At 45.1% G+C, this 27,247-nt stretch overlaps 1 protein-coding gene across 6 annotated transcripts, besides 6 other annotated features; it reads right to left on the bottom strand.

Annotated features, from left to right (window-relative positions):
- DLST (dihydrolipoamide S-succinyltransferase) lies at positions 173 to 22,000 on the bottom strand. Of its 6 annotated transcripts, NM_001933.5 has the most exons (15): positions 21,900 to 22,000; positions 21,292 to 21,325; positions 18,282 to 18,330; positions 14,769 to 14,821; positions 14,567 to 14,641; positions 13,964 to 14,019; positions 12,749 to 12,860; positions 10,930 to 11,082; positions 10,492 to 10,568; positions 9,507 to 9,604; positions 5,417 to 5,547; positions 3,920 to 3,993; positions 3,544 to 3,627; positions 2,683 to 2,850; positions 173 to 1,720 (listed from the first exon to the last, which is right to left on the bottom strand). In NM_001933.5, the coding sequence occupies exons 1-15, from the start codon at positions 21,960 to 21,962 to the stop codon at positions 1,586 to 1,588; spliced, it is 1,362 nt and encodes a 453-aa protein (NP_001924.2). In that variant the 5' UTR covers positions 21,963 to 22,000; the 3' UTR covers positions 173 to 1,585. The 6 variants fall into 6 exon arrangements, 4 of the variants coding, with proteins under 4 accessions (NP_001924.2, XP_047287021.1, XP_047287022.1 ...); NR_033814.2 differs by lacking the exon at positions 13,964 to 14,019 and having other exon boundaries at positions 14,567 to 14,639; NR_045209.2 differs by lacking the exon at positions 18,282 to 18,330.
- Positions 4,953 to 5,097: an enhancer, noted in NCBI's record as "145 bp enhancer 140 fragment used in the MPRA reporter construct; PK_construct_1641". NCBI's record gives its function as "activates an SV40 promoter by MPRA in HepG2 cells {active_cell/tissue: HepG2}" and the evidence as "EXISTENCE:reporter gene assay evidence [ECO:0000049][PMID:23512712]".
- Positions 5,019 to 5,032: a transcriptional cis regulatory region, noted in NCBI's record as "HNF4 motif; enhancer activity is reduced when this motif is scrambled". NCBI's record gives its function as "necessary for full MPRA enhancer 140 activity {active_cell/tissue: HepG2}" and the evidence as "EXISTENCE:site-directed mutagenesis evidence [ECO:0005528][PMID:23512712]".
- Positions 10,785 to 10,934: an enhancer, noted in NCBI's record as "active region_8732". NCBI's record gives its function as "activates an Ori minimal core promoter by ATAC-STARR-seq in GM12878 lymphoblastoid cells {active_cell/tissue: GM12878}" and the evidence as "EXISTENCE:reporter gene assay evidence [ECO:0000049][PMID:35858748]".
- Positions 21,656 to 21,985: a silencer, noted in NCBI's record as "silent region_5933". NCBI's record gives its function as "represses an Ori minimal core promoter by ATAC-STARR-seq in GM12878 lymphoblastoid cells {active_cell/tissue: GM12878}" and the evidence as "EXISTENCE:reporter gene assay evidence [ECO:0000049][PMID:35858748]".
- Positions 21,656 to 22,068: a biological region, named in NCBI's record as "ReSE screen-validated silencer GRCh37_chr14:75348551-75348777".
- Positions 21,842 to 22,068: a silencer, noted in NCBI's record as "fragment chr14:75348551-75348777 (GRCh37/hg19 assembly coordinates)". NCBI's record gives its function as "represses an EF-1alpha promoter that drives an FKBP-Casp9 reporter gene in an ReSE screen in HepG2 liver carcinoma cells {active_cell/tissue: HepG2}" and the evidence as "EXISTENCE:reporter gene assay evidence [ECO:0000049][PMID:32094911]".

The raw sequence follows: 27,247 nt of genomic DNA, 5'->3' as shown, positions 1-27,247 counted from the left end.
GCAGTCAGGGTTCTACCTTCTGTCAAATTATGAGTGTTAAGTTCCACATAAGGGATTTCTGATTTCACAAAATAAGCAACAGGACCTTGAGTGGCTTTCAATAATTTCAGTGCAACAGTGCTGGGGACTTGTACCACCTCAGTAGCCAAAAGGAACAGATACAGGAACCCTGTTTGAGAATATCTGCCCTTTAATTTGCATTTAAAATCAGTTTCTTTAAATACTTTAGTTACAAGTTCTGAATAGTGAAGACAGAGTAGTAGATGCTGCAGGCACTCAGTATTGGCTCCCACCCCTTCCCCCCTCCCCCACCCCCAGGCCTCACTTCTTGGCTTAAGATACAAAAGGGCACTCTCTACTGGCCCTGGTGTCAAACGTCAGCAGCCTCAGGCCTGGATGCAGTTGGATACAAAGCCATGAATCCCAGTGGCTCCAAGGAATTCCAATGATTGTGCCCAGATCCACGGGCAACACACCTTAGAAATGACCTCATCCGTTTCACCACTAGGTACTAACACCCTCAGGGTGGTTTCCTACCCCAGTCCACGTCCTCCAGATCTGTGTCCTGCAGAGGAAGAGACAAGGCCCCGCTATAACGCAGGAAGGAACAAAAACTGCCTCCTCAGCCCAGGTGCTTACAGCAACTTAACTGAAAAGCTCAAGGCAATGTGAGTCAGTCTAGAGGAGACCTCCCTTCCCTAGTCTCTACCAGGCTCTGGCCCTTCCTCGGGACCACGCTTGGTCCCACTGCCATGATGTGCTAGAATCTGCTCTAAGAACAAGGTGCTAGAATGAGGCCCAGCAACCAGCAAAGGGGTTGGAAAGGGTTGCTACAGCCCCAGCTGTGTGAGATTGTGCCAAGACGAGTCTTCTTGGTGTCAGCCTATGATGGAGAGCGTGAGGGCAGGCCTGGGCTCTCCTTCTATGATGATTACAATGCATGACCTCAGGGGACCTCTGCCCTCTCCTCCCACTCACACACCCAGATCCCCTGGCCTGTGCTTCCTGGAAGAGGTAGAAGAGGCATCTTGAAGTCAATGACAACGGAGAATGAAGGTGCCATTGAAGAAGCAAAGCAGCACCTCTTTGCCTGTGTTCAATCCCTCCACACAAGTGGAATCAAGGGAGAATGTGCACAGCCAGGACAGAGGCTGCTCTGAGCTTGGGAGGCACAGCATCCTCCTAGAAGTCTCTGCAGAACAAACTTTCAAAAGATAGGAACTTAATCACATGGTCCCCAGGGGTTTCTCTATAGTATACCAGCACTAGGGAAAAGCAAAATCATCTTTGCAGAGAGCTGATGGAAGAAAGGCAGGAATATGAATGAGCATCCATTAAGGCTCTCTCTCTTAAGCCTAAGGAATTAAGATATTCGAGGCTATGAGACAGGTGCAGAGAGGGAGAGCCTGGCAGGAACGCCAAGAAAAGACCTGTGACTGCTGGTTACACAGTGCTCTGCTTCCTTGCTTGAGGCCAACAGCATGTGTCTGCCTGTCACCAGGCTAACCCGGGACCCATGAGGGGACAGGGAGAAGACTGGTTTTCAGTTCCTGCATGATCAACTTGTAGGGTGTGTGGGTTCCTCCTAAAGATCCAGGAGGAGGACTCTGGGATCCTCTACCGCTGCCTTGATTTTGCGGAGGAAAGTCACAGCCTCTCTGCCATCAATCAGCCGGTGATCATAGGTCAGTGCCACGTACATCATGGGCCGCACCTCTACCTACAGAGAGGAAAGGTAAATAGGTTTGTCTCCAGCAAGCCACAGCCAGCCTCGCTGAAGGAGATTTAGCACAGCCCATAAGAAAGTTCCTAATTCCAGAGCCTTTCCTATTGATGTTGCCTCTGCATATTTACAGTATTTCAAAGACCAGGACTTACCCTCAGTGCAAAGCTTCCCCACTCAGAAACAAAGTTTGCCAAGAAAACTGTCTTCTCACAACTGCCTTTTATTTTTTAAAAACATACTCTGCCCTCTAACGCATCTGCTGCCTACAAGGAAAGTTTTCCCTTCAGTTCTGGCTGCCTGTACTTGCTTCTCTCTGGGGTTAGAATTTAAAAAAAAAAAAAAAAATTAAGCCAGGGTCTACAAATTCTGGAATTGTATGTGTAGCTGGGTGTATGGGCATTTTCCAGGAAGATCTACAGACTGTGGTTTCACACAGGAGTCAGTAACCCAAAAGGATTCTAAACACAGGAGTTCCCAGAAAGCTTTTTTGATACCAACGTATCTTCTAAGGGCCAGCTCAAGCCCCTTTTAATACTTAATTCTCTGAACTCCCGGGAAATTTACAAGCTTTATCATACAACTTGGCAGCTCACAGACTGACATGCATAATTGTCATCTGTTTCCCAGGGGCAAGGGACCACGTTTCCAACTATATCCCCCACTCCATAGAAGCAAACAAGCCTCCTCAGCTCAGTGGTTCTCAAACTTGAATATGCATCAGGATCATCTGCACTTCTTCTTTAAGTCTGGGATGGGGTCTAAGAATATGCATTTCTAATAAGGTCCCAGATGATGCTGATCCAGACCACAATTTGATAATCAGTGCCTTAGCTATTAGAAACTAAGAAATGGAACTTAGGCCTGAAATTATAGTTAATGTTTTACAATTAGCATTTAGTTGGATTTCCCTTTCATCGAGACCTAGCCACTAGGACCTTAGAAGTGACGGTTCCTACCTTGCCTCCTATAGCCACTGGCCTGTCAAAGATGCCATGCATCCCCAGGATGGCAGACTGAGGGGGGTTGATAATGGGTGTTCCAAAGAGCGAGCCAAAAACGCCTCCATTGCTAATGGTGAAGGTACCGCCATCCATATCTTCAATGGCAAGTTCATTCTTTCGGGCCTAAAAACAGATTTCATAATTGAAATATCAAGCCAACCCAGTTTCCTTCACCTAAAGTCAGTCCATAATCCCAGCGCTTTGGGAGGCCGAGGCAGGAGGACTGCTTGAGGCCAGGAGTTCAAGGCCAACCTGGGCAACATAGTGAGACCCCCATCTGTATAAAAAACTTAAGAATTAGCCAGGCATGGTGGTGCACACCTGTAGTCCCAGCTACTTGGGAGGCTGAGGCAGGAGAATCGCTTGAGCCCAGGAGTGCAAGGCTGCAGTAAGCTATGACTCTACCACTCTACTCCAGCCTGGGCAACACAGCGAGACCCTGCCTCTAAAAACAAAAAAGCAAAGGAAGTCCAGAAAGCTTGTATCGAGATCGATGGCACAAGCGCTAGCTTCCGTGTGACAGTTGTTCGGCTAAGGTGTCTATGACCAGTGCTCCACCAGAGAAAAGGCACAATTTCATACAGTTGAAGACTTCAAAGATGATCTTTTCTAGCAGGTCTCATCTGATGAGATTTCAGTTACCAGAGCATGGTAAACTCCACCAGATATATAAAATACTTAGCTCTCATGGGCAACTGCTTTTCTCAGGGGCTATGCACTTGACTTTCCATGAGCACTGCTTGCTAGTGAGCCCAGCCTTCTGAAGGCTCTCTTCCCTCGCCTGCTTAGCAGCTTGTATACATCTTTCTACTTTACCTTCTCTCCCAGTTCAGTGATGGTCCGTTCAATATCTGCAAAATTCATAGCTTCCACATTCCTGATGACTGGAACCACCAGACCCTGAAGGGGGTGAAAAGCTGTTTTCAGTTGCAAATTAATAGTACCTTTTATAGTTAACAACTCCCTTGATTCAACCCATGGTATGCCCTCCCTAGAATACCTTCATTACTCAGTGTGATTAACAGAAAGTGTTAAAAGAATGCGGCATGGTTTAAAAGAAAAAAAAGGTTACTTTTACTAACTCCCTTCTAAAAATACAGAATTAAAGAAATGATTTCTCTTGTGTGATCTCCTTCACACAGATAAGGTGAGGGTCTAAGACCAACATTCCCCACCTCCTGCCCCAACATACCCGTGGGGTGGCCACTGCAACACTGATGTCAATATAATCCCTATACACCACCTCTTTGGTTGTGTCGTCAATCACTATGAGAGAGAAAATACATGTTACATACAACTCCCCAGGAAGGCCAAGACTAATGAGGTAATATGTGCATTAACAGAGTAAAAATCTGCAGAGCTTGATACAGTGTGGGCTGACCAACCACCATGAACACCACTGCATTATGCATGGCAGCTGGCATTCCACTTACTCCCATCCCAAGTATAGTATCTCCCAAGTCCCTGACTGAGCCTGGGCATAGGAGCATCCATTTCTTTGGCAGCCCTAAGAAGGGCTCAACACACTGGCTTCCATAGGATAGGTATGCACTAAACTCTCGTTAAGTAGCTCTAGTCAAGCCCTCCTTTAGCAGAGAATGACTAGGGTTAACAAATGTTCCAAAAAAGGGCAAATTAGCAAAGGAAAAGGGATATAGAGATACTACCCATTCTCTGCTTCCAACTCTCAACAAGAGGAAGAGGGGAGATCCAAGAGTAAGCGGGGTGATCTGGCTTTGAAATATGCTACCTCAAGAGATGGCAAACCAGCATCTGAAAATGTACACCTAGCAACTAATGGGAAAATAAAGGCTTGGGAATCATTTCCGCAGAAAGTCCATGTTGTATTGTTAGATAAGACATCCAGAGGAAGCATGTAATGTGAAAAAGAGGCCACGAGAACTTTTGAGAGCCGCCTACATGTGTGGGCAAGCAGAAGGGGGCCACTGAAAAAGATGAGAGCCAGTCAGGGAGGCATGAGAAGAATGGGAAAAAGAAGAGGTATACATTTGGGCAAAACAAAGATGGCCTTCTACCTCCCTAGAGCACCACTCAACAGGAGGGACTAGGGCTTCTACTTCTAGACCTTTAGGGCCCCTGACACTGCTGAGGATGGCAAAAGTAGCACTGACCCCTCTCCAATCTCCCAAGGAACAGAGAAGTGTGTCAACAGGAAAACAAAGTGCTTGTTAGGTCAACACTACAATGACGTAGGTAAGTAAAAAGGAAAGAAAATAAGCACCAGGTCCATGAGAGGCCAAGCCGAAGCTCCCAGTGAGGCCCATCGACCTAAGATCAAAGGTCAGCCAGGAGCCTACACCAACTGTGGAAGTCAGGCCCCAAGGTAACAGGGCCTGTGGAGCTGGGGGAGGGGAGGAAGCCAGAACACGTGCTTCCACCTTGACAGGAGACAGCCTGGAGAGCTGGGCTATCCCAGAACTGCCTGCTGCCTGAGCAGCTGCCGAGCTGTACACTGGGAAGAGAAACTGTTCTGCCCAGCTGGCGGGTAGAAAGTAATCATGATGCTGCTTCAGGAAGGTGAACCAAGAAATCCCTGGGGAAGATACTGATATTTCTATAGGTAGCAAATAAAAAGCCTTGGTCTGTTGATCCTCTGCATGTGGGAGCAGGTCTGTGCTCATACACCTACCTCCCAGGACCTCTCCAATTCCAGCCACAAGCAACTCACCTGCATTTACAACAGGCTGTTCCTGCAAGGCAAAGGCTGAGGCCTTCACAAATGCCGACATGAAGCCTAGTTTGAGGTTATGTTTCTTCAAAAAAGCCTCTTTGTGCCGAGCCCTCATCTCCTGGATGTTACTGTGAAAATATTACAAAACAAACTGACCACAAAGCCTGCATTTTGACTTTCACACAGGTTTCTCAATCCATATACACAATTAGGTGAGAGCTTTTCCCTCACTCTGGACCATTACCTTAGTTCAAGTTTTGAAATAGTCTACCTGAGGTTAACACAGTAACTCTGTTCTTTTACAAAGAAATCTACAGGAATCAGGCCCAATCTGTCTTTAAGGTGGGTTGATCTCTTTACAGGGCTCCTTCATGGTCTAGAAGTCACAGATTTCAGTGACACATCATATGAACAAGAGATCACACAGCACACCAACATCCTTGCCCTGAATAACTGAGCTATCCATCCTGAAAAAAAATTTTTTAAAGTATAAACAAAATCTACAAAATAAGCAATATTCTTTTTATTTCTTGTTAGAATACAAAAAAAAAAAAAAAACCCCACCAAATCTGAGTATAACTCCCGTGTGATATTCCTCCTATCTCTTGATTAGTGGAGACTAAAATAAACAGCTCATGGGTACATGAGGCTCCATGCGGGAAAAAGCAGTCATGACTCTGCAGGGAAGGGTATAACCCAGTGTTCTTTCAGGCCCACGGAAAGTCATATCCGTTCTTCATCTTTCCAGGGTTGGCAGTTCCATCCACTTATTCTTCCAAACAGGTACTAACACCTTACTACATGTGAGGGTCAGGGCCAGGTACCAAGATACAAAGCTAATTAAGACATAGTTCTTGCCCTAAGATTAGTTTAATGGCTGTGATTTCCTTGGTATTTAGAAAAGTGGCCACTTGTGGTTTAGGCTGGTTCCCTTCAGATTAAGCAGCAAGCCTTCTGAAAAGCCTTTACAACATGAGCAGCCTTTATTCTTTTGGGACTGGTTTTTTTTCAATGACACATTGCAGAGTTAGTGAGAAATGGCTTTCCCATCACTTTGCTGCATAAACCTCAGTATTTATCGGAATGCAGTAATGCAGTTCTACGATGAAAATTGAATTTAACTTTATCTCAGGGCCAAATGCTCAGTTCTCCCTTTCTCCCTCTAATGGCCTAATTCGACATTAGCATGAAAGGTAAGATGTGGTACAATTTTAACAGCCCCCTTCAGATCTTTTGTTTTTGAAAAAGGAAGTTTTTCCAAGGGGGACTGATTGGGTTTAAAATGCTTGTTTTCCTGATTCTAACCTTATTTAGTGCTAGGATTACCACCCTAAAGACATTACTGGTTCCCAAGACACAAGAGCTGCAGAAGAGGGAAAGAGATGTGATAAACATCTCTGCTCTCAAACCTGCCCAAATGTTATTGTCTGGTCATTAAGTAGCTTCTATTTCAGAGCTCTGCCCTTGGAGGCAAAGGCTGGGACAATAGAGGAAGGGAGAAGGTCTCAGAAAGGTCCCTTATGGGTTAGCTGATCAGCACAAGACCCAAAGGGCACTCGATCTAAACCAAATTAGGCTGCAGCAAGACCGCAGGCCATTGTTAAGTGACACCTTGATTAGCTGCTGAAAGGAGATCCAGCTATTACGCTTCCTTTCCAATCAAAGCTGTTGGGCCAACTGCATCTTTCAGGGCCACAAATATTTACATGTTTTGTCTTAAGAAACTGGGTAGAATTTCAAAGTCCAATTCAATTTGTGTACAATTTGGCCCTAATGCACTGAAACATAAGCTGCAGCCTTTGTGATTCATTAGTCAAGGTCCTTCCCCTACATCCTATGAACAAGAGAGAAATCTTTGGCTTGAATGTCATCCAGTCTCTTCGGAAAGTTTCCCAACAGAATGGATGACATCTAGTAAAACAGGTCACAGAGCCCTACTCTGAACAATGCCACAGCGCACTATCAAGAAAACACTCCCTTCTCCCTATTTTTCAAACCCTTTCCAAAGAAAAGCAAATTTCTCTAATGAAAAGTAGATTCGCAGACTAAACCCTCAGGACAAAAAGAAAGAAAGAGATGACCTGAGACTTGACTTGCTTCCTGAATTAAATATAAACTCCTACCCTGGCATTCAAAACATTCTGAAATAAGGATCCAACCTTCTTTACCATTCTTTGCTATACAAAATCCTCACAACAGAAATGATTTTTGACAATTTCTCAAATGTGTCTTCTACTTTCCCATCTCATGGTCTACACTGTTAACATCATCTGGAATGACCTTTCTCCACAAGGCTGACAAAATGCTAGTCACTCTTGAAGACCTGTTTAAAAATTCTTTTTTGGCCAGGAATGGTGGCTCATGCCTGTAATCCCAGTGGGAGACCAAAGCAGGAGGATGGCTTGACCCTAGACGTTCAGGAGACCAGCCTAGGCAACACAGCGAGACCTTGTCTCTACAAAAACTAAAAAAATTGGCCAAGCCTGGTGGCACATGCCTGTAGTGGTCCCAGCCATTTGGGAGGCTGAGGCAGGAAGATCACTTGAGCCTCCCAAGTAGCTGAGACTATAGGTCCATGCCACCATACATAATTTTTTTTTTGAGACACAATCTCGCTCTGTTGCCCAGGCTGGAGTGCAGTGGCGCGATATCAGCCACTGCAACCTCCTCCTGGGTTCAAGCAATTCTTGTGCCTCAGCCTTCCGAGTAGCTGGGATTACAGGCATACGCCACCATGCCTGGGTAATTTTTGTATTTTTAGTAGAGGCAGAGTTTCACCACGTTGGCCAGGCTGGTCTCGAACTCCTGGCCTCATGTGATCCACCCACCTCAGCCTCCCAAAGTGTTGCGATTACAAGCGCAAGCCACCGCACCCAGCCCTCACTTGGCTAATTTTTAAATTTTATGTAGAGACAGTCTTGCTATGTTGCCCAGGCTGGTTTCCAACTCCTAAGCTCAAGCGATCCTCCTTCCTCACCCTCCCAAAGCTCTGGGATTATAGGCACGAGCCATGGTGCCCAGCGTCTATCCCCACTGAATTCCACAGTACAGTACTCTGTATACAGTACGCACTCAAAACACGTTTGTCAAATTTCTCTTCCTGACAGTGCTGATACTTGAACACATTGAAATCTTGAAGAAAACAGGTAAGTCAACAATTAGCTCACTACAGAAATGGGCATACCTAGTGAATTAGTACCTTTGGTTAACATTCTAAGGTTATTTAAAAACACAACTTGTTTTCCATTTCACTGTCAGAGCTGGGTAAAATGAAAGACAAGCCCAGCCTATCTTTGCCTTTTCATCCACTCGATTCTGAATCACTTAGGAAAATATGTAAGTGACGGGGTCAAACAATCCTCCCATCTCAGCCCCCCAAGTAGCTGGGGCTACAGATGTGCACCACCACACCTGGCTAATTTTTGTATTTTTTGTAGAGGTGGGGTTTCGCCTTGTTACCCAGCTGGTCTTGAACTCCTGGACTCAAGCAATCCGCCTGCCTCGGCCTCCCAAAGTGCCAGGATTACAGGTGTGAGCCACTACACCTAGCCAAGGCTAAGGTTAAGGTCATGGAGGAGGCAGGCATAGTATTAGGAAAGCCAATTAGAGAAGAAGCCAGCGGCTCACTCTGTGAAAGTTAACAATAAACAGGCCAGGCGCGGTGGCTCACGCCTGTAATCCCAGCACTTTGGGAGGCCGAGAAGGGCAGATCACGAGGTCAGGAGATCGAGACCATCCTGGCTAACACGGTGAAACCCCGTCTCCACTAAAAAAATACAAAAAATTAGCCAGGCGTGGTGGGGGGCGCCTGTATTCCCAGCTACTCTGGAGGCTGAGGCAGGAGAATGGCGTGAACCCGGGAGGCGGAGCTTGCAGTGAGCCGAGATCATGCCACTGCACTCCAGCCTGGGAGACAGCGAGACTCCATCTCAAAAAACAAAAACAAAAACAAACAAACAAAAAACAATAAACAAATACCTCTTCCCTGACAAGTTAGTTTTAGAATCAGCACTAGATAAGGAGTGGGGCAAGTTCGTGTTCTCTAAGAAAAAGGGGCCTAGGGGATAAGAGGGACTAGAGACACTACCTCATGTCAATCTCATTAAAAGTTGTCAGCATTGCACATGTATTCTGGGCCTCCTTCAGACGCTGAGCAATGCGCTGCCGCATCCTGTTCATTTTCTCCTGAAAGTAAGAGTGGAACAAGCATTGACAATCTGATCTCTCTGGGTCAAGCATTCCCCGTGTAGTCAGAAAGAACACGGCTTGCCACGAGTAGATGGCCAAGGACTACAGTATCTAAGTACACGAGCTCCAGGCTTCCCTTTCCTGTGGTGGCCCTTTCTCCTCCAAGCAAAAACATGCAAACACAGGCCAAAACTACTCACTCAGATGTGCCTAAAGCTTGACCAAGAATGAAGGCTCAGAAACAGTGATTTAAAAACCAAAACCCATTTATAAAAGAATGTAGTGTAGTGTAGTCTAGCCAACATAAGAATCATAAGAAAAAGGGCACTTTCTGTTGATAAAGATTTGCATAAGAATAGCTATTTGTGGAACAGAACCTCATGAGCAACAAACTTTCGAGGCTATCATATTTTTAGGAAGTATTCTCAGGCAGAGGAACCACAATCCTGACCATACTTCCTTGAGGCTTTATGTCTGCACCTGACAGCTATTGCTACTGAGTATTATCCCTTAGCTACAGCTAAGTATCCCAGAAGTATAGGAATAGAGCTCACTAAACCACCTCTCTGAAGCGTGTGACATCGTGGGAGGACGGGGGTGAGTTACTAAGCTACCACCCCTACAAATATTTAACTTACCCAAGGCTTTCACTGGTAGCATAATATAGTAGGAAAACCACTGAACAAGTGTTCAGAAGACCTCAGGTTCTAGTCCTATCATTTGATGGTTATGTGACTATGAAGAAGTTATATCCTAAACTCCCTTTATCAAGGTTGAGGGAATGAGCTGCCAGGCATTCAAAGGTAGGCATCACCACACCCATACTCCACTAATCTCAACACTGCCCCCTGCCTCTTTCCTGAAAGTGGTCCTCAGAGGCTTACCCGATGTTCTGAACGCAGACCTTTGCCAGCTCCTGGCTCAGCTAGTGGTGGGGCAACAGTGGGTTTTACTGCAGACACTGAAAATGAAAAGAGGATAAAGCTGCATCAGACAAGGAAAGAAACATCTGCTGAGTTTGTGCCAGTGCTTTCATATGTACTGTTACTTAATCTTCAAGATATTCTGAGGTATATTAGTATCACTCCAACTTCACAGATGAACAATCTGTTCAGATAAATTAAGTGACTAGCCTAAAGACACACAGCTAGTAACAGAAAGCTGAGATGCAAAGCAGGCCTTTGGATACAAAGTCTAGAATTCTTTCTACAAAGCAGCCAACCTGGCCTGTTCAGAACCATCATCAGTCTAGAGTTTACCCTTTGAAGGAACATATTAGACGAGATGTTCTCCCACATGACATGTGGGAGTTGGAAGCCTACCAGGTTTGCCAGAAGGAGGCTGTGAGGGCGAGGGCACCGGTGGCATCTGAGTGGGTATGGGTGCTGCAGGGGGAGGAACTGCCGCTGCTGTAGGTTCTGCTTTTGGGGCTGCAGCAGCAGGAGCTTCAGCCGGCTTGGCCTTAGCAGGAGCAGCTGAAAAACAAGAAAAGTATATGCCACTGGCACTGTCTGAAATGAGAAGCAACCAAGCAAAATTTAGTGGCAAAAACTCTAGCTCCAATCAAGTAACGAATGTCTACTGGGTATCAGCAATATGCAAAGCACTATGAGACACACACACAATGACATAAGGCACTATTCTCTAGTCCTCAGGGTCCCTAAATGTCCATCAGATAACTGGCTCAACTTAGCTCCCTTCCCAATTTCACAGGTTTCCACTGAATAAATTCAGCAAGTACTTTCAAAGCACCTATCAAGCCCAAGAAAATGTAAACTTCCAAGGAAAAAAAAAAACACCTAGGCAATTTAAAATATTGAAATGCATACATAAACATATTTCTAATTACTGATACTCTTCATCCTCTATTTTAACATTATATATGCAAGAATACTATTAAAAAATAGGCTGGGTGCAGTTGCTCACGCCTGTAATCCCAGGATTACAGGCCAAGGGATTACTCCCCTTGGGAGGCCAAGGCAGGCGGATCACAAGGTCAACAGATCAAAACCATCCTGGCCAACATGGTGAAAGCCCGTCCCTACCAAAAATACAAAAATTAGCTGGGCGTGGTGGCATGTGCCCATAGTCCCAGCTACTCGGCAGGCTGAGGCAGGAGAATCACTTGAACTCCGGAGGCGGAGGTTGTAGTGAATCAAGATCAGGCCACTGCACTCCAGCCTGGCGACAGAGTGAAACTCCATCTCAAAAAATAAAATAGTCATCGAGGGTTGACTTAGGCTTAAGAAAGCACTTCATCCAGGATGACTCATAAATCACTGAAGTGGCCAAGTAATAATCTCACAACTTTAAATGAAATGTTTGTTTCTGTTTTTCACCCATCTGGACATTATATCCAGGGTTAGTGCTAAGACAAACTTCTGCAACAGGAGGACTACCTTATTTCCCAGCCTTCTACCATACATGTTTTCTACTCTGAGCTTCTGGTCTTGCCTGACTAACCTCAATCATGCGGTCTATCTGCCTTATTAGTGTAACAGTGAAAAAGAAATAGACTTCTGTGACTCGTTGGTCTACGGGTACGATTCTCGCTTAGGAAAAAGAAATAGACTTTTTAGTGGTTATAAAATTTAACTAAGAGTCAGATAAAGTTATTAATCTCTAATCCTATCAGGTCCAGTACAAATTCGTTTCTCATTTCTTCCCAAAAGAAATACCAACCCTTCCTAGAGATATGAGAGAACAGATGTGAAAAGAAACAACACTGAATTCCCCATAAAAGACAATGAGCATTTCCTTTGAGCATTCTGTCAGTGCTCAAAAAGTTTTGAAGCATTTCAGATTTTGGATTTTCAGTTTTGGAGCATTTCAGATTTTGAATTTTCAGATTAGGTATGCTCAATCTGTATATCTATAAGAAAAGGTCCAGTTTCTCAGCTCCTGCTAAGAAACACCCATGGAAAGAACAGAGTATAAGGTTTATTTTTTAAAAAATACACTTTTCTTTTAGAATTTGACATTTGAAGTTCACACTATATATAAATTTACCCCTTATTCCCTCAACTAAGGGCAGCTGGAATGACAAGAGTCTTTGACATATCGGGGAATTAGCACATTATGCTCAGTCCCAATCCCAAGAGGGAACACTGGAGACCTTGACCACCAGGAGAACTTCTTTACCACCAGTTTTCCTGAGTGTGAAAAGTGGAGTGCCTCCTTCGACTTTTCCCCCATCAGGTACCAAAAGAGCTTCAATCACGCCATTTGCTGGTGATGGAACCTGCACAGATGTCTGGAAGAGGAAGACAGATGGAGGAAGTCCAAATGTTTATCCAGCATTAGAAAATTAGCTGTATAGAATCTCCAATGAAGCCAGGCACAGTGGCTCATGCCTGTAGTCCCAGCATATTGGGATGCCAAGGCAGGCGGATCACTTGAGGTCAGGAGTTCAAGACCAGCCTGGCCAACATGGTGAAACCCCATCTCTACTAAAAACTACAAAAATGTAATCCCAGCTACTTGGGAGGCTGAGGCACGAGAATCGCTTGAACCTGGCAGGTGGAGCCGATATCGTGCCACTGCACTCCAGCCTGGGTGATAGAGCGAAACGTCTCAAAACAACAACAACAACAGCGTATCTCCAGTGAGTAACAAGAGTTGCAACACAATATATAAGGCCTTGCACACAAACATCTAAGGCCATAATTTCAGAGCAAGGGTGATAACAAGTCATCGCTACTGTGAAGATTCACTTTCTGTCCTTTCTCAGAAACATTCAGGCAATATTCAGTTAATATGTTTCCAAGTGATACAGGAAAAAGTGGAAACAGCTTATTTACCCTCCCCACCCCCTCACCACACACTACAAGACTAAAGCTACTAAATGAAGTACATAGTACACACACAGCAAACAATTTAAAGTTAAATGCAGGTCAGGTGCGGTGGCTCATGCCTCTAATCCCAACACTTTGGGAGGCCAAGGCGGGCAGATCACCTGAGGTCAAGAGTTTGAGACCAGCCTGGCAACACCTGTCTCTACAAAAAATACAAAAATTAGCCCGGCGTTGTGGCATGCGCCTGTAAGCCCAGATACTAGGGAGGCTGAGGCAGGAGAATCGCTTGAACCCAGGAGGTGGAGGTTGCAGTGAGCTGAGATCAGGCCATTGCACTCCAGCCTGGGCAACAGAGCAAGTCTGTCTCAAAAAAAAAAAAAAAAAAAAAAAGTTAAATGTAAAAAGTTGTTTTTTTTTTAAATTGAACAAATCCAATAATTTTACAACTGAAGTTAGAGCTAGTTAAAAATTATCTCTAAACAATGGTTAAGTCCCTGTTTCTTTCATTAGGTTAACTAAGGGAAGCCCATGAAAAGCTGGTACGAATATAAGATAAGCCTACCTTGTCAGTTTCAATCTCACAAACCACTTCATCTTCTGCAACTGTGTCTCCAACAGCTGAAAAGACAATCAAAGGCTACAAGGCTACCTGTTAGCGGGGAGCCTCCAGTAGCCACAAAACCCATTTTGGCAGGTATGTTATAAGAACCCTTTCCTACAGGGCCAGCAGAAAGTACATATGTAAAGAAAACGGCAGAGCTATAAATTCTACAACTATCCTGAGGGGAGGGGAGAATTTTAGATAGCACTTAAACTTAAGAAGTGAGAGGAGCCAGGCGCAGTGGCTCACGCAGTGGCTCAGGCCTGTAATCCCAACACTTTGTGGCAGGCTGAGGTGGGCAGATCACCTGAGGTCAGGAGTTTGAGACCAGCCTGACCAACATGGTGAAACCCTGTCTCTACTAAAAATACAAAAAACTTAGCCAGGCATGGTGGTGGGCACCTGTAATCCCAGCTATTCGGGAGGCTGAGGCAGGAGAATCACTTGAACCTGGGAGGCAGAGGCTGCAGTGAGCCGAGATCATACCACTGCACTCCAGGCTGGGAACAGAGCAAGACTCTGTCTCAAAAAAAAAAAAAAAAAAAATAGGAAACTAAATCTTACCTTTCTCCCACCTGACATCTCCCTCTGTGACAGATTCTGCAAACGCTGGGGTTTTGACTGTAACCAAGTCATCCTCTAGGAAAAATGCAAAAAAGAAAATCATAAGTAGTTCATTTTTCCTTTTTAATATTTTTCTTTAATTAAACTCAATCAATTGTTGCTCTTCCCATAAAATTCCATTCCCAAGAAAGCAGGTACTTACTGCATACAGCTGTAGTTCTGAAAAAGCGAACACTGAAGACACTGTTGTTAATGCTACAAAAGAAACACACGTTAACTCCTTTTAACAGGCGAACCACTCACATTTTAGTCTAGTTAAGGCCCCATGGGTCACCTTCCCCTTAAACAGTGACTCTTGACCAGGGGTGTCCATCAGTGTCACTTGGGGAGGAACTTTTTCAAAGTTCACTTGTCTAGGCCTCTCCCCCAGGGATTCTGACTCAGCAGGTCTGGAGTAGAGCCTAACGACCCAGGTACCTTAAATGGTGAGCTCCCCAAGTATGCTCAGGCCCCTGTGCTGCAATGCAATGCCAACTCTCACAAAACAGACTTACATTTGGCTCTTTCAATAAAAAAATAAGCACCTTGGTCCTTTGCAGACCGAAATGACTTAGCTTCTTGATTTGGTTTTTTGTTTTTTAAGAGATAAGAGTCTTGCTCTGTCACCCAGGCTAGAGTGCAGTAGCATGATAATAGTTCACTGTAACCTCAAACTCCTGGATTTAAGGGATCCTCCCACCTCTGCCTCCCGGGTAGCTGGGACTACAGGCACATGCCACCCAGATAATTTTTTTAAATTACTTTTTGTAGACTATGGATTTCATTGCCCAGACGGGTCTCAAAGATCCTACCCAAAGTGCTGGGATTACAGGAGTGAGTCACCATGTCCAGCCAGGTCTCTTCCTTAACTAAATCCGAGATAGATTTACGGCCTGCCCAGGGTACAAGCCATTGTGCAAGGTATAATGGAATTTCTGCCCTCAAGATAACAGATTTAGATCAGATAAGGCAGCAAGATTAACAAGGTTAACTCGGAAGTAAAACAAGGTGTTATGCCAAAAAAAAAAAAAAAAAACCCAAAAACAAAAAAACCACACACAAACCCCATATGGTATCTCCTACTCGGTTCTCTTGCTAGAAAACAGCACATCAACACATTCTGGATTCATTCAAAACGAACCTCAAAGACCAAGGCGTTTACTGATATGGCCTTTACAGTAAATAATATAAACTGGAGAATCAGCTCACCCTGTATGCACAAAGCCATTAACAGTGGTTACCTCTGAGGGGTGAGAGATGTAGACATATATGGTATCTCTGGTTATGTGTTGCACACTTACACAATTTGGGAGAATGATTTGGATGGGGACTTTCACTTTTTACACTTCAGGATTGTCTGAATATTCCACAACAAGCATTTTTATAATAGAAAAGTAAAAGAGATTTAAGTTGTCTTTAGGTATTTTTACTTTTATAATGTCAAAATAACTATAAGGTCTATGTATAACCAAGAAAAAATGAAGATATTTAAAAACTACAAGAATACAAATTGTTCTACATATAGTTTGTAACCTTGTAAAGTACATGCCTATAGGCAAGAACTAACAGGTAACATGCAAGTGCAGAGGCTGCTCTGCAAGTCATCCAGGAACCCGGAGTGGTGGCCACCACTACCCAAGAGGCATTCGGGGGGCTAGAGGACAAGGATAAAAAAGTCTTCTCATGGACACCCTTTTTACTTTTTGAATTTTTAATCATGTAAATATAATACTATTAGTAAAAACATAAAACCAAAAATTGTTTTACAATAAAAGATTTATTAAATAAAGTGGGTACCTTATTCACAAAAAAGGCACAACACACACAAAGATACTGGATTAGGGTGACATGATTGGGGTGATCCCACACAAAGTTTACTTTTTCTTCATTATTTACTTTCAAATATTTAGTGTATTTATTGTAGAGAGTCATGATTGCCCCAATTTTCATTTGATTGCAGATGAGTAATACATTTTGAATCTCTAAATAACTAGATGTTCACTACAGAATATTAGAAATAGCAAAAAGAATACTTACAATGGGATCATACCACACAGTAGAAAATGAAATTATTTTGTAACCTGCTTTTTCCCACTTTTCATAGTGTGAACATGTGAACATGCTATAGTTTAGCCAATCCCTTGCTCTTTGCCATTTTAAGATAAATCTGATAATATTTATATTATCAGATATTAAATCTGAGATAAATATACCAGGAGTTCTTCAGTATAGATTCCTAGAGATGGAATTGCTAGATGAAAAGGAACACACAGGCCGGGCAGTGGCTCATGCTTGTAATCCCAGCACTTTGGGAGGCTGAGTCGGGCGGATCACCTGATGTCAGGAGTTTCAGAGACCAGCCTGGCCAACAAGATGAAACCCCGTCTCTACTAATACAAAAATCAGCCAGGTGTGGTAGCGTGCGCCTGTAATCCCAGCTACCCAGGAGGCTGAGGCAGGAGAATTGCTGGAACCCGAGAGGCAGAGGCTGCAGTGAGCCGAGATCGCGCCACTGCACTCCAGCCTGGGTGACAGAGCAAGACTCCATCTTGAAAAAAAGAAAAAAAGAAAAGGTACACACACTTCAAAGACTTATGACTATCAAACTGCCCTCCAAAATAACACCGGGATTCATATTTCTAGTACTGAGTGCAACATTTACTCAAATTTTAAAAAATCAGCCAGGCACCATAGCTCACGCCTGTATCCTCCACTTTGGGAGGCTAAGGCAAGTGGATGGATTGCTTGAGCCCAGGAGTTTGACACCAGCCCAGGTATCATGGCAAAACAACCCCATCTCTACAAAAAATACAAAAAACAACCGGGCATGGTGGCATGTGCCTGTAGTCTCAGCTACTCAGGAGGCTGAGGTGAAAGGATCTCTTGAGCCCAGGAGGCTGAGGATGCAGTGAGCCAAGATCAGGCTACCGCACTCCAGCCAAAGTGGCAGAGCAAGATCCTGTCTCAAAACAACAACAACAAAAACCCTCATTGTGATGTAGAGTAAGTAAGAAGCTCATCCGCTGACCTCTTCACTTTGAGGATTCTCCCTGTAGAGTAAGCAGCCTGACAGCTGCTGAACAGGTTACTAGAGAGCATTCTCTTAGCACCACCACAAAAACACTTGGAATGCAAAGCAGCATTTAAGCAACATTCATACGCAGAAGTTAATCTGAAACACACATGGGTAGCCTTTCTCCAAACTCTGCATTATGCAATAACAGCATTCCCTCCAAACTAGTCAGTCAGTCCCAGGACTCAACCAGTTTTATGCTTTTACTGTTTTTAAAAATGAGTAACTATGCTACTGAGAGGATGCTCTCAATCTCCACAATAAATGTAACCTCGAGCCTTTCAGCTGCACTTACATCCAAACAGAATATCTAGGAGCACCCTTCTATATCCCATAAAAAGAGGATTCCAACTTAACTTTCATTATAATCCAAACACCTGTGGAGAGTGGGCACACTCCCAGTCCAAAACCTGACACGGAGCTGATGCTCAAGGAACATCACATGGGAAAAGTGAACATTGAGGTTAGTCTAGGGACTCAACATAATCACCTCAATTTCTAGGTCTGGAGGCCAGTGAAGAAATCAGATGGTCAAATTTAGAACTTTATGTCTTTAAATAAATAACCCGTGGCCACATATCTGTACTCCCCAGTGATACTTACACAACCTTCCTGCTGTTAGGGTAACCTGGTCCCTGGCATAAGGAGACCCCTGCAAGAAACAAAATAACTCTTAACCAACAACTCTTATCTCACAAAGGATACATGCTGGGAATGGAAAAGGTCTGCTCACCCCCAACCCTGAGACAGAGCAGGATCAACGGCAACGGATATAATCTTTATCATAGAGTCCTGCTTCTCAAACTTTTCCAAAGTAGCCTTAGTGGCAGAGAGCAAATGGGTATGTGAGATCGAGTGGGTATGTGTTTGGCTGGGGAGGAAAGAGAAAAAATTTGATGGCACAGCCCAAAGTGATTATATAATCTCATCTACCTTAAAAAGCCAGAACTTTTCATTATTCCTGTATGTTTTCATAATAAAATGTCTCTACTCGCCAAGTCTTCAAATACAACTGAAGCTTGAGAAAGACATGGGATGGCTTATCCTGTGACTATACATAACCCAATTTGAGAAGCAAGGAGGATGTTTGGTCTGGGTTTGAAAAGATTGGGTTGGAAATCTTATCACCTGAATCCTAGTAGCAAAGACTTGGCTACTTTAGGCTCGGGGTCTCCAGTTTGTCCTAGAGCTGAGAAAATCATGTCCCCATCTTTCAGTTTATTGACTTCCCATGCCTTTCTGAAGTCTTCCACCCTGGTCACTCTCAACAAGGTGAGAGACCCTTTCTGCCCACCAGCTGTCCTTATCATAGTTAACTGCATTTCCCCAACTGATGACTAGTAACTACAGCTGCCTCTTCTGAATTCTTTCTTATGTCTTTTTTCTTTCAGATTAACAACTCTTTCTGAACCATGGGCTCAGGACACACCAAATGAGAGCTAGCCCTCTCTTATGCCCACCTCCTCACAAGCATCCCAAGATAGGTAAGCCAGTCACCTTTATGTCCAGCAGCCAATGACTATGCAGTGCAAATTCTAAGCATAGTATGTTTTTGAACTAGAATAGATGGCGGCTCACACTGATTTTGGGAACCTGGAGTCCAATTCAGAGTTCATCCTACAGCAAATTTCATTTGTACAGTGCTTTAGGGTTTATAAAAAGCTTTCCCATAATGACCTCATTTTGATTTTACAGTCTCACAACTCTCTGAAGTGGAACGACCATCTGCCATTATTCCCATTTCATATAAGTAGGACTTTTGGAGGTTAAGCGACTAGCCCAAGGTGAATCCCTGAGCCCAAATGCAAATCCCCAAGTGCAAGGCTCTTTCCATTGTCCTGCCCACCTATGAAGTGGAGAAAATGTTTACTGACATTGTTCAGGGTTCCCACTTGAAAAACATGTTTGTTATTGAGAGTCCACTACAAGCCGACATTGTGCTAGGGGCTTTATGTTCTCATAACTCTCAGGATAAAGTCCACACTTTACGCGATCCTGTACCGTCCAGCCCACTCTATCTTTCCTGCCAGACAGGCTTCTTCCCATGTCTATCACTGGTCAAGTCCTTTCCTGTCTGAAAACCTTTGCACAAGCAATTCCCTTTGCCTGGAATACATTTTCTTGGCTCTTTTATATTCAGGTCTCAGTTAAATGTCACTTCTTCAGGGAAGCCTTTACTGACATTCCCAACCTTCCCAAGCTGGTCTACATCATCCCACCCTCTCATCACACCCTTTAATTCCTCTCTCGTAGTAACCAAAATTTATGCCCTTGTCGGAGCATAAATGTATATTTGCTCTCTCTCTCCAGCTAGCCCATAAAATCTCGAGGCTAGAGTCTATCTATACCCCTGTTACCTAGAACAGTGGCTGGCATATAGTAAGCACTCAATAAATGATCTGTTGAGTCCATGAGTAAATGAGAACATGGTGGGTTAAGAGTTCAGGATGGGTCAGGTAGACCTGGCTTATCAACAGCTGGGTGGGTGACCATGGCCAAGGCTTTTAAGCTCTCTTGTCTTGGGTTATGCATTTGTAAAATAGAGAAAATACTTTTTACTGTTTTGAGATGATTAACTAAAAAATTCACAGAAAGCACTCATATAAATGCTTGGCACAAAGAAAGCCCACAACAAGGTCAACTCATTCAACAAATACTTAGGCTAGGCATATAACAGAAAAAAAGCTATGGATGACACTTTTTTCTTTTTAACTGCTAGGATAAAATCTAAACTCCTTCAGTCTCTATACCATCTTCTATCTCTTGCCACTCTCTCCCTTAACCAAAATACTCCGGCCAAATCACCTTTTTTCCAGCTCTTAAGTTCTGCCAACCTCTTTTCTTCCTCAGGGTCTTTGTGAATGCCATTCTCTTTCTCCTGGGCTTCACTGGGTTAGCTCCGTCACATTCTGCTAGCCATAACTTTTTTTTTTTTTTTTTTTTGAGATGGAGTCTCGCTCTGTCGCCCAGGCTGGAGTGCAGTGGCGCGAACTCGGCTCACTGCAAGCTCCGCCTCCCGGCTTCACGCCATTCTCGTGCCTCAGCCTCCCGAGGAGCTGGGACTACAGGCGCCTGCCACCACGCCCGGCTAATTTTTTGTATTTTTTAGTAGAGATGGGGTTTCACCGTGTTAACCAGGATGGTCTCGATCTCCTGACCTCGTGATCCGCCCGCCTCAGCCTCCCAGAGTGCTGGGATTACAGGCGTCAGCCACCGCGCCCGGCCATGGCCATAACTTTTAAGTCACCTCCTCAAAAAGGGCTCTTCTGTCCACCCTCGTTTCCTTCTCAGCAGTTACAAAAATTTGCCTTTGTTGGCTTGTTTAGCAACTGACACTATCCAACTAGCCTAGGAGCTCCACGAGGGCAAGAACTGTACACTTCTGTATCCACTCCTGTATCCCTAGCGTCTAGCACAGTGCCTAACACAGTAGAAACTCAACTACGAGCTAAATGAATAAGCGATAGCTCGTGATTATGTAGCATTGCGTCTCACTACTCTCTGAACCAAACTGTCTTTAAATATTATGAGAAACACAGGCACCCCCGAGTTCCTCACATACTGCTCTGCCCAGGAGGAGAGCATTTTAGGTGACGGTAAGGGCAGAACTTACCAGGCAGGGAACGTCTCCCTAGAGGGCAGTTCCCCTGTTGAGAAAGAAGACATTATCGACGTCACCCAAGATGAAAAAAAAACCCAGCTTTTTCTTTTAAGTACACGCTCAAAGCTGTCCCAGTGGTGGTGACAGGTGAATCTCGTAACTCCGAAGGTAAATGCAACACACCGTGCTGGCAGACCCAATCAACACGCTGGGCCTGCCAAACTATCTCAACTTCCCAACGGGACTCATTAATACCCACTGATTTTAACAGAGCAAGACGAGACGGGCGCCGAATCCCGCCGGAGGACTCCGCCGCGCCTCCTCCCTAACTCTGAGTCAAGTATCTGGACGGGCGCGGCTCCCCAGCTCCCGCGCGGAGGGTGGGGTACAGCAGGAAACGTTCCCCGCAGGCTGCCTGGAGAAGGCAGGGGGCCGCTGGGCTCCGCAAAACGGTCCCGAGGGCAACCACGGCCCCGGGCCGCCCAGCCCGCGCGGCCTCCGCGTCCCAGTGCCCTTGGTGCCCGGCCCGGCCGGCGCGCCGCGCCCCTGCCTTCCAGGCCGCCTCTCTGCCCGCCAACAGACTCCTCACCCGTCGGGGCCCCGGCTCGGCCAGACCGTACCTTCTGGAAGGCGGAGAGCGAGCGGCTGAACGCCCGAGACACACAGCGGGATCGGGACAGCATCACGGCGGAGGAGCCGAGGGCGGGCGGACACCGGATATAGGGCCGGACAACAACCGGAAGTGGGGCGGGCCGCAGTACCCGCCGCCCGACGAGGGGTGTTCGGAGCGAACCACTGGCAGGGGGTGGGCGCACGGCGGCGCCCAGTATCCCGGCTGCAGCGCAGGAGTCCCGCTCTCTGGAGCAGGCAACCCTAAGGCGCTCTTGGGGCCCTCCGCACTGCCTGTCAGCCTGAGGTGGTTCTCCTGAAGGTGTATACGACTGTCCCGCCACCACATTGCCCCCGGGGTCAGGCCTTCCCCTACCCTTCCACAGAACTGGCTCTGAGCTTGGCGCCCTTCTCTCTTGGGACCCGAGGGCACCGCGCCGTTCCGCCTCTGTACCTTGGGAAGAGAGCAAAAGAGGGGCACGGACATTGAACTGAAACCTTGGCAGACATGCATGCCTGATCTTACACTTGTGTGGCCTGGGGCAGATGACATTGCCCCCCACCCCCAGTCTCAGGTCCCTTAACTATTAAAAAAAAAAAAAAAGGCACTTGTTACTTCCCTGTCTTCCTAACCCCGAGTCAAAGAAACAGAATCCCAGGAATTTCTAAATCCCATTGCCTTTTTACGAGTCGGATATCTTCACCAACTATAGCCTTATTTCTCAACAGCTTCTGATCTCCCCCCAACGCAAATTCCAGCCAAACTAATTGTTCCCCATACATCTTGTGCATTTTGGAAGTTGTTCGTTTGTCACCCTATCCCTAGAATATAAACTCCCAGCTGTTTTTTTAAGAAACAAGGTCATAGTTCACTGGAGCCTCGACACTCTGGGCTCAAGCGATCCCTCTGCCTCAGCCTCTGGAGTAGCTGGGACTACAGGTGCCACCATGCCAGGCTGACCTCCCCACTTTGAGTGTGCCATTCTTCCCGCTGACTTGAAGTGAAAGCATATAGCATCCCCTTCCCCTCCTTAAGTATTCAGGCCCCTTGAGTATTCACCTTTAAGGCTCACCTTCCTAATGAAAAAGATGTGCTTTAAACCTCTGGCTGAATTAGTAACACATAAATGTATGAATGAATGAATGAACCACTTGGTGCCGTTCATGATGATTTCTTTATCTGAGGCATTTTGCCTGGCCCTCAGGACCTTTATTTTTTATTTTTCTAATTAATTTATGTTTTAATATAAATTGAGACGGGGTCTCACTATGTTGCCCAGGCTGGCCTCAAATTCCATCAGGACCTTTACAGTGCCTTCACTCACCTGAACCCTGAAAGCACTGCCACTGAAATTCTGGAAGGATGGGCCAAAGTCCTAACTAGAAATAGAGAAAACAGCTCTGCCCTGCTGCTACCCACAATTAACTCCTCAGTAGCTTTCACCTGAATTATTTGAAAAGCTCCCTAAGCAGTTCTAAGCCTCCGCTCTCGCTTTCTCTAGCCCATCATCCTTTATATCTGTGTCAAAGATCCTTCTGAGCCTGGTGTGGTAGCTCACGCCTGTAATCCCATCACTTTGGGAGGATGAGGTGGGTGGATCACTTGAGATCAGGAGTTCAAGACCAGCCTGGCCAACATGGTGAAACCCCATCTCTACTAAAAATACAGAAATTAGCTGGGTGTGGTAGTGAATGCCTGTAATCCCAGCTACTCGGGAGGCTGAGGCAAGAGAATTGCTTGAACCCAGGAGATGGAGGTTGCAGTGAGCCAAGATTGCACCACTGCACTCCAGCCTGAGCAACAGAGTGAGACTTCGTCTCAAAAAAAAAAAAAAAAAGAAAGTAAAGAAAAAAAAGAAATCCTTCTGAAATGCAAACCTAATCCTGTCACTCCTCTGATTAAAGTCTTTCATTGCTTCTCCTGGTCGGATAAAGCAAGGGAGATAAAGTTTATCTCCCTTGTAGGATAAAGTACAAACTCCTCAACTTGGCCAGGCACCTGATAATCAGGCCTCTGATTATGTTCTGATTCTCTCCCCACATTCTCACAGATTGTGAGCTTTAGTCAAACCACACTACTGGCCATAGCCTTGCTGAGCTATTTGCATGGGCTGTTTCCTCCTCCTATTTGCCTAGGAACTCCTAGTCATCCTTTAAATCTCCTTCTTAATCCCTTCCTAACCCCTCTGGCAGAGTTAACAGATACATTTTCTATGCTTCCAAAGCACTGTGTCTGGGTTTCTACATTGCATTTTATTGTAATGTCCTGTTTACCTGTCTGTCTCCCATGCTGCATAGAGCAGCAGGTGGAAAGAGACCACTCTCTATTTTCCTGAATTTTCCAAACACAACACCTGGGACATCAGAGTTCCTGGGACTCTGTAGGTACTCAATAAATATTTGTGGAATGACTAAATACTTCCATGTTTACAACATTGGTGGACACAGCTGAAGAATCCAAGAACGGTAGTCAGGGGCTATGGCAATTTCTTGCCAGTGTTGCTGTTAATATTTTTCTTAGATAGCTACCCAGTCCTTTCACGGTCTTTTTTTTTTTTTTTTTTTTTTTTTTTTTTTGAGATAGAGTCTTGCTCAGCTGCCCAGGCTGGAGTGCAGTGGCATGATCTCATCTTGGCTCACTGCAACCTCTGCCACTCGGGTTCAAGTGATTCTCCTGCCCCAGCCTCCCGAGTAGCTGGGACTGCAGGTGCGTGCCACCATGCCCAGCTAATTTCTGTATTTTTAGTAGAGACGGGGTGTCAGACAGGGTGTCACTGTATTTTTAGTAGAGACAGGGTGTTGGCCAGGATGGTCTCAAAATCTTGACCTCATGATCCGCCTGCCTTGGCCTCCCAAAGTGCTGGGATTACAGGCTTTCACAGTCTTTAACAATTTTTGAGATTCTTATAGAAGGTGTAGAGGCTTCAGGCTGGGCACGGTGGCTCACGCCTGTAATCCCAGCATTTTAGGAGGCTGAGGCAGGCGGATCACGAGGTCAAGAGATCAAGACCATCCTGGTTAACACGGTGAAACCCCGTCTCTACTAAAAATACAAAAAATTAGCCGGGCCTGGTGGCGGGTGCCTGTAGTCCCAGCTACTAGGGAGGCTGAGGCAGGAGAATGGCGTGAACCCGGGAGGTAGAGCTTGCAGTGAGCTGAGATCATGTCACTGCACTCCAGCCTGGGTGACAGAGCTAGACTCCGTCTCAAAAAAAAAAAGATGTAGAGGCTTCAAGACTTCAAGCCTGGTTATAATGTGGCAAAGCACTTCTGGAGTTTTAGTGATCACCCAAGTTAATCTTAGATATTACAGTCTAAAGACACCACACACACACACACACACACACACACACACACACTCGAGCATGGTTTCATACAAAATCCCATTGAGAGGGTAAAAGTTGAAATTGATTTCCTCGAGATTCACATACGAGCTTCCATGGACTCCAAGCTGCAACCCAATAAGCTAGGGCACTCCTTCATTTAGAGCTTCCCAAGACACAGCACCATCTACTGGGGCAAGAGTTTATGAATATAAATTGTGGCAGGGCTCAAAAGAGAATTTTTTTTTTTTTTTTGAGTGGAATCTCACTCTGTTGCCAGGCTGGAGTGCAGTGGCATGATCTTGGCTCACTGCAACCTCTGCCTCCTGGGTTCAAGCGATTCTCCTGCCTCAGCCTCATGAGTAGCTGGGACTACAGGCGCCCACCACCATGCCCGGCTAATTTCTGTATTTTTAATAGAGACAGGGTTTCACCATGTCGGCCAGGATGGTCTCGATCTCTTGACGTAGTGACCCCTCCACCTTGGCCTCCCAAAGTGTTGGGCTTACAGGCGTGATCCACTGTACCCGGCCCAAAAGATAATTTTTAAAAACATTTTCATTGTAAAATACGTATTAAAAAGGATATAAAAATCTATGTGTCCAGTTTAAAAGAAAAATAATAAAAGGAATTCCCATACTTGCTGCCCAGCTGAAGGAATGGAAAAGTTCCCTGTGGTCTCCTCCATCATCACACCCAGTTAGCCACTACTATACTGAATTATATATTAACCATCCCCTTGTTTTCATTATAGCTTCAATATGCTTATGTTCTATACACATTTTTGCCTGTGTTTTTAAATTAAGAAAAAGATGTCTCCAGCAGTGGTCTGATATAGAAAAAAATAAAAAATGAAAATGAAAGATGTATTTACTTTCAAATTAAATAAGAAAAAAGGTGTGTTTTTAGAAAGGATTAAGTAGCTCATTTACCTCAAATCCCCCGGTTTTCTTATGTGTGTTCTGAACCATACATTCACATCCTTGCCTATGAGTTTATGAATATTATCGGCCAGCTAGTAGATGGGGCTATAGCCTATGCTTCCATCTTTGGGCTCCTTAAAATAGGGACTATGCCCTATATTCACTCAGTGTTACCTATGATACCTAGATTCCATCTATCTGTCTATCTCTTCATTCAGTTGTAATTCAAAATAATGGACTGATGAATACACAATGAAAATCTAGACATGTTTTTGTGTGGGTATTTTTTTTTGGTCTATTTTTTAACTTAGTAGAAATGGAATCACAGTGCCTGTATCATTCTGTAACTTACTTCTTTTTTTTTTTTTTTTTTTGAGACGGAGTCTTGCTCTGTTGCCCAGGCTGGAGTGCAGTGGTGTGATCTCGGCTCACTGCAAGCTCTGCCTCCCAGGTTCATGCCAGTGTCCTGCCTCAGCCTCCCAAGTAGCTGGGACTACAGGCACCTGCCACCATGCCCGGCTAATTTTTTGTGTTTTTTAGTAGAGACGGGGTTTCACCGTGTTAGCCAGGAGGTCTCAATCTCCTGACCTTGTGATCCACCCACCTCGGCCTCCCAAAGTGCTGGGATTACAGGCGTGAGCCACTGCGCCCACCCTTTTTTTTTTTTTTTTGTAATGGGGTCTCACTCTATCGCCCAGGCTGGAGTACAGTGGTGCAATCTCGGCTCACTGCAACCTCTGCCTCCTGGACTCAAGCAATCCTCATCCTCCCACCTCAGCCTCCCAAGTAGCTAGGACCAAAAGCACATTTTTTTTTCTTTCTTTTTTTTTTTTTTTTTGGTATTTTTGGTACAGATGCGATCTCTCTATGTTGCCCAGGTTGGTCTTGAACTCCTGGGCTCAAGTGATCTGCCCGCCTCAGCCTCCCAAGGTGCTGGAATGACAGGCGTGAGCCACTGAGCCCAGCCTCTGTGACTTACTTCTTTCAGTCAACATTGTATTTTGAGGATTTGTCCACGTTGATGAGTTGAGCTGTGGTTTACTAATTTTCATTGCTGTATTTCACAACATCCCCTCCACTTCTCAAGCTGAAGGAGGAGGGGAAGGCAAAATT

Source organism: Homo sapiens, chromosome 14 (genome assembly GCF_000001405.40).
Source record: "Homo sapiens chromosome 14, GRCh38.p14 Primary Assembly".
Lineage (NCBI taxonomy): Eukaryota > Metazoa > Chordata > Mammalia > Primates > Hominidae > Homo > Homo sapiens.
The sequence above is the reverse complement of the archived record's forward strand: the minus strand, read 5'-3'. Positions and strand labels throughout refer to the sequence as shown.

Excerpts from the sequence above, each read along its gene's own strand:
- DLST (NM_001933.5), bottom strand. The coding sequence starts at position 21,962 with ATGCTGTCCCGATCCCGCTGTGTGTCTCGGGCGTTCAGCCGCTCGCTC. Across the intron at positions 14,822-18,281 it reads CCTAACAGCAGGAAGGTTGT|CATTAACAACAGTGTCTTCA; the intron begins GTAAGTATCACT and ends TTTCTTTTGTAG. Across the intron at positions 14,642-14,768 it reads CAGAACTACAGCTGTATGCA|AGGATGACTTGGTTACAGTC; the intron begins GTAAGTACCTGC and ends CATTTTTCCTAG.